Source organism: Homo sapiens, chromosome 2 (assembly GCF_000001405.40).
Source record: "Homo sapiens chromosome 2, GRCh38.p14 Primary Assembly".
Lineage (NCBI taxonomy): Eukaryota > Metazoa > Chordata > Mammalia > Primates > Hominidae > Homo > Homo sapiens.
The window spans coordinates 232,800,792-232,813,268 of NC_000002.12; the positions used below are offsets into that span (position 1 = coordinate 232,800,792).

Sequence of the window (12,477 nt, forward strand, 5' to 3'; positions counted from 1 at the left end):
TGTAATCCTGTTTCCTTGGGAGGCTGAGACCAGAGGACTGCTTGAGTCCAGGAGTTTGAGATCAGCCTGGGCAACATAGTGAGACCCTGTCTCTCGCTTTTTTTGAGACAGAGCCTTGCTCTGTCACGCAGTCTGCAGTGCAGTGGGGCAATCTTGGCTCACTGCAACCTCTGCCTTCTGGGTTCAAGCAATTCTCTTGCCTCAGCCACCCAAGTAGGTGGGATTACAGGCATGAGCCATTGCGCCGAGCCAAGAGATCCCACCCCATCTTTAAAAAGAAAAAAAAGAGACAAATTCTTGCTATGTTGACCAGGCTGGTTTTGAACTCCTGGCCGTAAGTGGTACTCCCTGTCTTTCCTCTGCCACCTTGGCCTCCCAAAGAGGGATTATAGGTGTGAGCCACTGCACCTGGCCAAAAAATTTTATTAATTACATTTTTAAATAGTCATATAAGGGGCTGGGCGTGGTGGCTCATGCCTGTAATCTCAGCACTTTGGGAGTCTGAGGCGGGAGGATCACTTGAGTCCAAGAGTTCGAGACCAGCCTGGGCAACACAGTGAGACCCTGTCTCTACAAATAATAAAAAAGCCAGGCATGGTGGTATGCACCTGTAGTCCCAGCTACTTGGGAGGCTGAGGCAGGAGAATTGCTAGAGCCCAGGAAGTTGAGGCTGCATTGAGCACAGCACTTGGCTTGAGTAACAGAGACCCTGTCTTAACAAACAAAAAAAAGACATATACATTATATATTTGTTGTATACGACATGATGTTTTTAAATACGCATACATATTATGGATGGCTAAGTCAGGTTAATTAACAAGCATACTAATCATTTTATAGTGAGAACACTTAAAAATCTACTTGGCAGTGTTTTTTAAGAGTACAATACATTGTTAACTATAGTCATTGTTGCATGATAGATCTCTTGCTATTTTTCAAGAAAGAAACATTGTTTTGGCCATTTGCTGTCTTTTGAGACTTCGTATGTATTTTAGGATGGGATTTTTCTGTTTCTGCAGCAAGCTTCATTGGGATTTTAATAGGGATTATCTTTAATCTGTAGGTTGCTTTCGGTAGTACTGACATTGTAACAATGTTAAATCTTCCAGTCCATGAACATGGATGTGTTTCCATTTATTTAGGTCTTTAATTTCTTTTAGCAGTGTTTTGTAGTTTTCTTTGTACAAGATTTTTACATCCTTGGTTAATCCCGAAGTATGTATTCTTTTTGATGTTATTGTAAGGGGAATTTTTTTCTAATTTTCTTTTCAGATTGTTCATTGTTGGTGTATAGAAATGCAACTGATTTTTCAGCGTTGACTTTGTGTCCTGCCACTTTGCTGAATTTATTTTTTACTTCTAACCTGTTTTTAGAAAAAAAGAATCTAGAATTTTCTGCATAAAAGATTATATCATCTGTGAACAGACTTCTTCCTAATTTGGATGCTTTTTTTTTTTCTTGCCCAGTTGTTCTGACTAGAACCTTTAGTACTATCTTGAATAGGGAAGTGGTGAAAGTGGGCGTCCTTCGCTATCTCCTAATGTTAGAGGAAAAGCTTTCAGTTTTTCACTATTGAATATGATGTCCACTGTGGGATTTTTATATATGACTTTTATTATATTTAGTTAGATCTCTCTATTCTTAGTTTCTTGACCCTTATGAAAGGGTGATACTACTTCTGTGTCAATTAAGATGACCATGTGGTTTTTTTCCCCCCTTATTAATATGGTATATTACATTGATCAATTTTCATATATTGATGCCTTGAACCATCCTTGCATTCTAGGAATAAATAAATCCCACTTGGATTATGGTGTATAATCTTTTTAATATATTGCTGAATTTGCTTTGCTAGTATTTTGTTAAGAATTTTTGCATCAGTGTTCATAAAGGATATTGGTCTATATTTTTCTTTAGAGCCTTTGTCTGACTTTGATACCAGGGTAATTTTGGCTTCATAGAATTAGTTAGGAAGTGTAGGTAATCTTGCTTCCTTTTCAGTTTTTGGAAAAAGTTTGAGAAGGATTATGATTAGTTTTTCCTTAAATGTTTGGTGCGTTTTTCACCAGAGAAGCCATCAGGGCAGGGCTTTCCTTTGTCCAGAGATTTTTTTTTTTTTTTTTTAAAGACAGAGTCTAGCTCTGTCGGCCAGGCTGGAGTGCAGTGGCACAGTCTCAGCCCACTGCAACCGCTGTCTCCCGAGCTCAAGCAGTTCTCCTGCCTCAGCCTCCTGAGTAGCTGAGATTACAGGCGTGTGCCACCATGCCCGGCTCATTTTAGTAGAGATGGGGTTTCACCATGTTGGCCAGGCTGGTCTCGAACTCCTGACCTCAGATAATCTGCCTGCCTTGGCCTCCCAAACTGCTGGGATTACTGGCGTGAGCCACTGTGCCCGGCCTGTTCAGAGATTTTTGATTACTGATTCTAGATACTAGTCCTTTGATGGATATGTGGTTTGTACATATTTTTTGTCAGTCTTTATCTTTTCATTTCATTCTCTTAATAGAGTCTTTCACAGAGCAAAAAGGTGTAAATTTTGATTAATCCAATAGATAAATGTTTTTCTTTTATAGGTTGTTCTTTTTTGTATTAAGTTTAACAAGAACACTTTGCCTAGCTTTAGATGCCAATGGTTTTTTTTGTGTGTGTGTGGAAAAATTTTATAGTTTTTATAATTTACATTTAAGTTCATGGTCCATTTTAAATTAATTTTCATATAAGCTAGTTGTTTTTTGTTGTTGTTTTCTCAATGAGTGTCCGTTTGCTTCGGGACCAAGAATGTCTTTTCTCTCTTAAATTGTTTTCTTTCACCTTTGTCAAAATTTAGTTAAGCATATTTGTGTGGGTCTATTTCTTTGTGGGTCTGTTTCTATTTCTGCTTCTTTTTTTTTTTTTTTTTTTTTTTTGAGACGGAGTCTCGCTCTGTCGCCCAGGCCGGACTGCGGACTGCAGTGGCGCAATCTCGGCTCACTGCAAGCTCCGCTTCCCGGGTTCACGCCATTCTCCTGCCTCAGCCTCCCGAGTAGCTGGGACTACAGGCGCCCGCCACCGCGCCCGGCTAATTTTTTGTATTTTTAGTAGAGACGGGGTTTCACCTTGTTAGCCAGGATGGTCTCGATCTCCTGACCTCATGATCCACCCGCCTCCGCCTCCCAAAGTGCTGGGATTACAGGCCTATTTCTGCTTCTTAATTTTGTCCCATAGATCACTGTCTCTTCCTTCACCAGTACTGTACAATCTTGATTACTGTAGCTGTATAATAAGTCTTGAAATTGGGTAGACTGATTCTTCCCAGTTTAATCTTCTTTTAAAAAAATTTTTTTTTAGCTTTGTATTTCCTTCGCCTTTCCATAAAAATTTTTAGGATAATTTTGTCCGTATTTACTAAAAATCTTGCTGAGATTCTGATAGGAATTATGTTAAACCTCTCTATCAGTTTGAGAAGACTTGATGTCTTTACCATGTTAGTCTTTTAGTTCATGAACTTGGTATGTCTATCTGTGTTGTTAGATCTTTGATTTCTTTCATCAGTGTTGCGTAGTTTTCAGCATGCATTCTGTACATGTAGATTTACATCTGAGCATCTCAGTTTTTTTTTTTTTTTTTCAGTGATAGTAAATGAGCTCATTTATTAGCTCAAGGAGTTCTTTTTGTTTTCTGTTTTTTTGGGTAGTTTCCTTGAGATTTTACATAGACAGTCATATTTATCCTTTTTTTGAGATGGAGTCTCACTCTGTCACCCAGGCTGGAGTGCAGTGGCGCGATCTCGGCTCCCTGCAACCTCTGCTTCCCAGGTCCAAGCGATTCTCCTGCCTCAGCCTCCCAAGTAGCTGGGACTACAGGCATGCGCCACCATGCCCAGCTAATTTTTGCATTTTTTAGTAGAGACAAGGTTTCACCATGTTGGCCAGGCTGGTCTCGAACTCCTGACCTCAGGTGATCTACCCACCTTGGCCTCCTAAAATGCTGGAATTAGAGGCGTGAACTGCTGTGCTCAGCCTGTATTTTTATTTTCATTCCGTTGTGTGTATTTTAATTTCCCTTGAGACTCCCTCTTTTACCCATGGATTATTTTGAAGTATATTTTTGGGTTTCTAAGTATTTGGAAGATTTCTGTTATTTTTCTTTTATTGATTTCTAGCTTGATTCTTGGTGGTCAAAGAAACATACTATATGTGATTTTTTTTTATTTCCATAGGTTTTTGGGGAACAGGTGATATTTGGTTATATGAGTAAGTTATTTAGTGGTGATCTGTGAGATTTTGGTACACCCATCACTCGAGCAGTATACACTGAATATGATTTTAATTTTTAAAAATCTTTTTATGTTTGTTTTATTGCCCCAAATGTGGTCTGTTATTGCTGTATGTTCTGTGGGTAGTTGAAAAGAATATGTATTTTTCTATATTTGGAATGTTCTGTAAAGTCACTTCACTTCTGTTGGTTGATGGTTTTGTTGAATTCTGTAATCTTGCAGATTTTCTGCTAGTTGGTCTATCACGTGGTGGTTACGTCTTCAATTTGTGGATTTGTCTGTTTCTTTTTTTCAGTTCTGTCAGATCCTGTTTTGTATATTTTGGAGCTTTGTTGTTTGGTGCATACATATTACAATTCCTGCATCTTCTATGTGTATTGACCCTTCTTTATTACATCTGTCTGTCTCTGATAATTTTCTTTGCTCTGAAGTCAACTTTATCAAACATGAATATAACTTACTTTAAGTTAATATTTGCATGATATATCTTTTTCTCTCCTCAGTCTGCCTACTTTGTTATATTTTGTGTGACTTTCTTGTAGATAGCATACTATTAGGTCATGTGTTCTGGTTGCTGGCTTCTTCATCTCCAAATCTGTGATATATGCGATAAAAAGAAAAAACAGGGAATTCACGATCATGTCATCACTGAGACCCCTAGTTAGCCTGCCTTTTTCTCTCCACCTTTCAGTGTTATTTGTTTTATATATTAATACAATGTCCAGGGTTTCCAGTTGTGCTTAGAGGAGGAATAGGGAAAAGTACATCTACTTCATTTTCTGAAGTGGAAGTTCCAGGGCTTTGCTTTATTTATTGCCATATCCCTACTGTCTATGTCATATATCATCAATGTTCAGTAAATATTTGTTGAATGAATTAATGGTTTTTAATCAGAGTGAATTTGTATGTTATTTATGTATATAAAATACTTGATTATTTCATATTATAAAACATTTAGAGAATACTCGTTTTTTCCCCACTACCAAGATCAGAGAGCGAATTATAATTTGTCTTAATTATTGTTTACATTTTGCCCCACTTTCGCTAATCTATGGCAGAAAATGAAAATTGGAGAACGTTTTCAGCCCTGCATGTTTATATTCTTTACGCCTAAATGATACAAAGTCTAGTAAATAGTTAACTCTTCAATTGTATCATACTTTACTGACACATGAATTGTTGTAGAGATTGAGATAGAGACAGTTATGCTCCTTATAATTGAAGTGCTGCTGATAATTTGGGATGTATAAACACAGACTTTATTTAAAAATTATTTTAGTAGTTAGAAATCTGTTAGCTACCTTTAGAGGTGAATTAAATTAGATAGTATAAAACATTTTGACAGATGCCACCTCGATGAGAATCAGATGCAGGAAATATTTTTTTTCTCTTTGAGTCTGAAAGGTTTCTTATTGTCTTTCTGTTTAATTGGTGCTGTTATAGGTCCCTTCAATAATCAGGAGATGGCAGAATGGTTTCAGGCGGGCTATTTTACTATGTCTTTATTGGTGAAGAGAGCGTGTGATGAAAGCTTCCAACCTCTTGGCGATATCATGAAAATGTGGGGAAGGGTTCCCTTTTCTCCAGGTCCAGCTCCCCCTCCTCATATGGTAAGTACCTTTCACCTCACCTGGAATACATATTAGTCACGGAAACACTTGATTCTCTTTGAAAACACAACCCAAATATATCATCTAATGAAGGAATTGTAGTTCTTTGAAATTAATGGAAATGGTAAGGGAAAGTCTGAATGGAAGACTGAATACTTAGCTATAATGATCTTTTCAAAACTCGAATAACCTGTGCCCATCCTCTTCACACCCCAGCTCCTCCCCAACAGGGAAACGGAATCCTTCAGTAGCATTCCAGCAGATGTAGAATGAAGACCAACATCTTATCCTGGCCTACCTACGAGGTCCTGCAATGCCTGGCACCTTACCTTTCTAAGCTCATTTCAGAGCTTTTACCTTTATCTGCTAGGCTTCAACACAGTTGACCTCTTTGACTTTCTTTGCTTCCTCTAGTTAGAATAAACATTCCCCTCTCTTCCACTTCATTTGCCTCTTGCCTTCTCATTCATAAAGTTTCTAAATTTGAGGTTTGCCTTAAAATAAATGTTACCAGTGCTTCACAATATTTTTAGGGCTTAAAAAAATTAGTTACTGGTATTTTAATTAAAAAATGGAACCATGGCCGGGCACATTGGCTCACTTCTGTAATCCTGGTGTGGGAGGGATTTGGGAGGCCAGAGTTAGAGGATTGCTTGAGCCCAGGAGTTTAAAATCACCCTGGACAACGAAGTGAGACCTGTCTCTACAAATAGTAATGAAATAATAATGATAAAAAACTAGCCGGGTATGGTGGCAATCAGTGGCAGAGATGGGATGATCACTTGAGCCTAGGAAGTTGAGGCTGCAGTGAGCTGTGATTGCACCGCTGCACTGCAGCTTGGGCAACAGAGTGAGACCCTGTCTCAAAAAAAAATAATAAAAGGAACCGTAATGCTAGTAGTGATCTTTCTAGGGCTCTGACACTGGGGTACTGTTGGCAGGGAAACCCTTCTTCCTCTTGGGCTGCTCTTGGACCCTCTCAGTAGTGTTCCTTTTGGAGGTCTTTCACCTGTACCTCATTTTTTCTTCTCCAGGTTGGACTGTCTGGTGACGGGCTGTAGTTAAAAGTTACCATAAACCTTTTTTTTTCTTTTTAAAGAGATGGAGTCTCGCCATGTTGCCCAGGTCAGTCTCAAACTCCTGGGCTCAGGTGGTCCTCCCACCTTGGCCTTTCAAAGTGCTGGATTTTAGGCATGAGCCACTGCACCCAGCCAATAAACCTTTAGTGTGGACACTGCATTTCTACAGTAAAGTCACCATTGACTTATTCATCAATTGTATATTGAGGGCCTGTGCCAGGCCTCGTAGTAGGTTCTTAGGAGATGAAGATGAGCAAGACCTAGCCTCTGTAGTCAAGGGAGTGTGTAGGTGAGGAAAGTGGCTTTTTTTCCATTTTGTTTCTTTTAAATGTTGATCTTAACCCAGTATTTGATTTCACAATCCACTAATGTGTTGAGACCTATAGTTTGTGGAGAGCAGTGGTCTAGAATGGAAGATTCCTAGGTGAGAGGAATTATTTCTCACACCATCCTAGTTGTTTTAAGTCACAAGAAAAATTATACTGTGTATTGCAGCATGTAAATTTAACTTATATATCAAGTTTAAGCCTTATTTCCCTTCTCTGAAATTAAGATGAGTTTTGATCTTACACATCTCAGAAGCTAAAAGCTCATCTCTTGGATCTTGGCATACTTGGAGTAGTCCACTTCCCAGTTTCCGGTTAGAGGAGCTGAGCCTCAGTCATACCTGCATAGGAGGGAAACTGTGCAAAGCCCTGCTTCCTGTCTGTCATTGTCTTTGACCTGAATATTGTTGATAAGAAGAGAGCCCCACTTCATGATGAATGTATACCTTGAAACTTAGTTTTTCATGTAGACATTTTAGATGAACCTAAGGTAGTAGCTATCCTCCAGTATCGAAAAGCAAGAAAAACGTCTCTGAATTTCAGGTAATCCCTACCCTAAGAAATTGTGTATCAAGTATCTTATTTCAAACTATAATCAATATATAATAAAGATATAAACTCATGATTTACCTATTTAGTCTGTCATACTTACACTTTTACTTCTGTTATCTTATACTTCATGTTTCTTTCTCCTAATTTTAACTTTTTATAATTTAAATTCCAGTCATATTATTTCACATATAAGCTAAAAAATTGGTTTTATTTTACTACAACTTATTTTTTCTAATTCATGATGTATTAATAGCAACAGAAACAGTTTATTTTGGGGGAGAGAGTTATAGTTATCAAAGTTTATATACATACATATACATATATACATACATATATATATATTTTTTTGAGACGGAGTCTTGCTCTGTCACCCAGGCTGGAGTGCAGTGGCGCAGTCTAGGCTCACTGCAACCTCTGCCTCCCAGGTTCAAGTGATTCTCCTGTCTCAGCCTCCTGAATAGGTGGATCTACAGGCATGTGCCACCACACCCAGCTGATTTTTGTATTTTTAGTGGAGACGGGGTTTCATCATGTTGGCCAGGCTGATCTCAATCCCCTGACCTCATGATCCGCCTGCCTTGGACTCCCAAAGTGCTGGGATTACAGGTGTGAGCCACCACGCCCGGCCTCTTTTTATATTCTTAACATCTTTAAGATACATACTGGCTCCCTGCATTCCTTATATACCATTATAAAATTCTGTAACATTTCCTTTGACCTTTAGATACTTTTACATTTTTCTGTGTTATATCCAGTTTCTCTAATTTCTACATTATCTAATTATACAGTCTTTCAGTTACAGTAATAACTCTGAAGTACAGTTGAACATTCAGCTTTAAGGGCAGGAATGGAGAATGGCAGCTGAAATAAGGACCCTTTCTCACCTTAGGGAATCTTTTGTAATATTGACACCACTGTTTCCACTAGATGGTGTTGTTTAGTTTTTAAAGATGTCTGAGTTTTTATTCAAGTGTTTGGGTAAAAGGGTAGAGCTGGGAGGTAAAGGTCTTAGATTCATTTTGATTTCAGATACCTGTACTAAGTGGCTTTTAGGTTCTTTGCAGTTTATTTAATGGTATTTATTTCCTCACCACTTCATTCCTAGGGAGAGCTGGACCAGGAACGACTGACCAGGCAGCAAGAACTCACAGCCTTATACCAGATGCAGCACCTGCAGTACCAGCAGTTTTTAATACAGTAAGAAGAGTAATGCAGTAGGATGTACTGCAGCATGAAAAAGGACTTTAAATAGAATCTGCTCTCAAGTCTCACCTTTTACAGTAGAGAGGACTAACGGCTTATATGGCACTTCAGTCACCCAGCTAGTGGCGTCTTGCCACCATACCTTCTAATTTTAGTGTTGTCATTTATTTATTTATTTATTTATTTTTGAGACAGAGCCTCACTCTGTCATCCAGGCTGGAGTGCAGTGGCATGATCTCGGCTCACTGCAACCTCTGCCTTCCTGGTTCCATTGATTCTCGTGCTTCAGCCTCCTGAGTAGCTGGGACTACAGGCGTGTGCCACCACGCCCAGCCTATTTTTGTATTTTTAGTAGAGATGGGGTTTTACTGTGTTGGCGAGGCTGGCCTCGAACTCCCAGCCTCAAGTGATCTGCCTGCCTCGCCTCCCAAAGTGCTGGGATTACAGGCATGAACCACCACTCCTGGCTTATCTTACTTTTAAATACCAGAAGTTTAGAAGATGACACATAACTTTAATTTTGTAAGCTCTTTAGTTTCTAAGTGCCTCCTGAGTGGCTCAGCTTTGAATGCCACAGAGGAAAAAAAATATATATGTATATAAGCGAGAGGGTGGGAAAGAAGTTAAAGTTAATTATTTTAGGAGTGGTGTGGAATGATGGCAAAGTCAGTCAGGTTTTGTTATGTCCTTTTTGTAGAAGAAATAAGATTTGCTGTTCTTGTGGTGCAGAGGTTGGCAAAGTCTGACCTTTGGGCTAAATCTGGCCTGCTCTCTATTTTTATATTTATAAGCAAAGTGTTACTGAAACAGACACACCTGTTGGTTTGTAGGATGTATATTGCTGCTTTTGCCTTATGATGGCAGAATTGAGTAGTTGCAACAGAGAGTATATGAGCTGCATAGATGAAACTATTTACTCTCTGGCCCATTACAAAAGTTTAACCCTGATCTAGTGAAGAAAAATTACCTAAATTTTTCCAAGTTGAAGACGATCAATGTATGAATTTTTATAGAAGTGTTACATTTTTTACAAAGGGTACGTCATATGGTTAAAGCTACTAATTTGAATCTGTTTCATTTTTCATTTGATTTCTGATAAAAGGTTATCTTTGGAGTTTACCAATTTTTGACATTCGTGATTTTAAAAATATTTTCTCTGAATAGACCACTTTGCACTGAATTGTGAATTTTTTTGCTATCCTCTTTCACTCGGAAACACGCCATCTATGAGTTCAGTTCTTTCTAGAATGAAGCATAGAATTTTCTATGTGTCTATTATCATAATGAAGAATTATAAAATATATTTGATAGCTATTTCTAATAATGTCTCCTGGGGGGCTTTGAATTGAACTTTGTCTTTCAGCATCTCAGCCATGTGAACTAAGTGTGGATTGACAGGTTATACTTTTTTTTTTACTTTTTGAAGACAACAATATGCACAGGTTTTGGCCCAACAGCAGAAAGCAGCACTGTCTTCCCAGCAGCAGCAGCAGTTGGCACTTCTTCTTCAACAGTTTCAGACCTTGAAGATGAGGTTGGTGGTCATTCCATTATGTGTCATATGGGGTGCATGTGTTGTGAAAGAAAGAGAAGAAAGGAGAAATTCTGGTATAGTGTGTGATTTCTGGCACTGGAACACTCCCAACACATACCTGCATGTTGTATGTAAAAAAGTATATTTTAAAAAAATATTTCAGGTGGAGATAAGCGTTTATTTGGTCTTTTACTCATAGATATAAATTTTGATTAATCAAAAGACCAAAGAATAATGGGAACTCTTGAGAAACAGTGTCATCTTGTGGAACCTGCGACAGAAAAACTGTAGCCTAGGATTTTAATTTCACTTTTACTCATAGTATCTCAAAGTATTAGCCACACCACAAAAGGTTGTAATTTTCTAGAACTCAGAAGCCATTAAGGTAGGTCTAAGGAAAAGGAAATTATGCTAGAAGTCTAGAAGAAATTTCTGCTGTTTCAGATTATCGTTCAGAGTAATATTTCTCCTGAACAAGTATCAGTCACTGCTCTTAAAAATCTTATTGTCTCATTAAGCCAAAACTGTTTATATTTCTTTTGAGCCTTAACCCATCCCATGAGGTAGGCAGTTTAGGTGGTAGGAGCTCCATTTTATGGATGGGCAAACTGGGACTCTGAGAGGCTGTAGGACTTGATTAATGTAACACACAGGAAACTCAGAACTAAAATGCAGACCTTTTTTCATTATAATATGCTGTCTCTGTGACTTCTATTGAGATGATCTGGGTTTTTTAAGATACGGATATACAGTATCTTTAAGATATACATATCTTTTAAGATATAGATATACAGTGGGTATATCCATCATTTAGAAGTCAATATGTATTACCATAGAGGATTCCAGAAGTGTGATCATTGTGCCCTTCTCTTTGTTCCACCCCAAACTGCTTTGGTAGTGTTAAGTTTTAGTAAAAGAGTGAAGGCGTTTTCTAGCCAAATAACCTGGAGAACCTGCTAATCTAGAAATTCCTCTTCATCTTTTTTTTTTTTTCCTGCAAATGACAAGAACAAGTTAATTTTTTATTTCCCTTTTGCAGAATATCTGATCAGAACATCATTCCCTCAGTAACTAGGTCTGTGTCCGTGCCAGATACTGGCTCTATCTGGGAGCTTCAGCCAACAGCTTCACAGCCTACAGGTAAAAACTTAGATTAACCTTTAGTACCACTCTGAGGATTCAGAGTCTAATAATAATTTTACAATTCAGTTCTTAAAAAATATATTAGGTTTCTGAATCCATTTTGTATTTGATATTAACAAAAGGTCCATTTTTTACTAGATCCAAGCAATATTGAAGGTGTTACTGAAAATATACTTTTAAGGATTTGTTTGAATTTATTTAGTGGATTTTTTTTTGAGTCAGCATCTCTTTTATGTTGTTCTGATCAGTGTGGAAAAATCATTTAAATTATTTTCGATCTCTTTAGCCAGATCGGGAAAAAAAGCATACATAAAAACATAGTAATGGTGACCTATTCTTTTGAGTTAGGAATTAATACAAGCTAGGCATGGTGGTGTGTGCCTGTAGTGCTAGCTATTCAGGAGGCTGAGATGGGAGGATTACTTGAGCCCAGGAGTTCCAGGCTGCAGTGAGCTATGATCATGCCAAGGCATTTCAGCCTGGGCAACAGAGCAAAACTCTAAGAAAGAAAAAAAAAAAAAGTAATTGGTGTTAACAAACACTGTAGGTACCCAGAAATTTTGGGAAAAGAAAAACCTGCTATGAATTGAGCACCTTTTCTCATTTTTATATTTTTACATCAAATTAGAAAATTTGGGGTTGAGATTATTTTAAGTCTTGGTATGGGTGAAGCACCGCTGTTTCTTTGCTTTCTTTTTTTTTTTTTTTTTTTTGAGACAGACTCTTGCACTGTTGCCCGGGCTAGAGTGCAGTGGTGCGTTCTCAGCTCATCGC

At 38.1% G+C, this 12,477-nt stretch overlaps 1 protein-coding gene across 5 annotated transcripts in view; it reads left to right on the plus strand.

Annotated features, from left to right (window-relative positions):
- The window catches only part of GIGYF2 (GRB10 interacting GYF protein 2), a 163,275-nt gene that overhangs the window by 103,461 nt on the left and 47,337 nt on the right, over positions 1 to 12,477 (plus strand). For all 5 annotated transcript variants that reach the window (NR_103492.1, NM_001103146.3, NM_015575.4 and 2 more), the window contains 4 exons: positions 5,700 to 5,866; positions 8,929 to 9,020; positions 10,453 to 10,560; positions 11,600 to 11,700. Coding sequence is in view for 4 of the 5 variants with exons in the window: in NM_001103146.3 (NP_001096616.1) it covers positions 5,700 to 5,866; positions 8,929 to 9,020; positions 10,453 to 10,560; positions 11,600 to 11,700 (468 nt within the window). In the remaining variant the exon portion in view is untranslated. The remainder of the gene's footprint in view (positions 1 to 5,699; positions 5,867 to 8,928; positions 9,021 to 10,452; positions 10,561 to 11,599; positions 11,701 to 12,477) is intronic.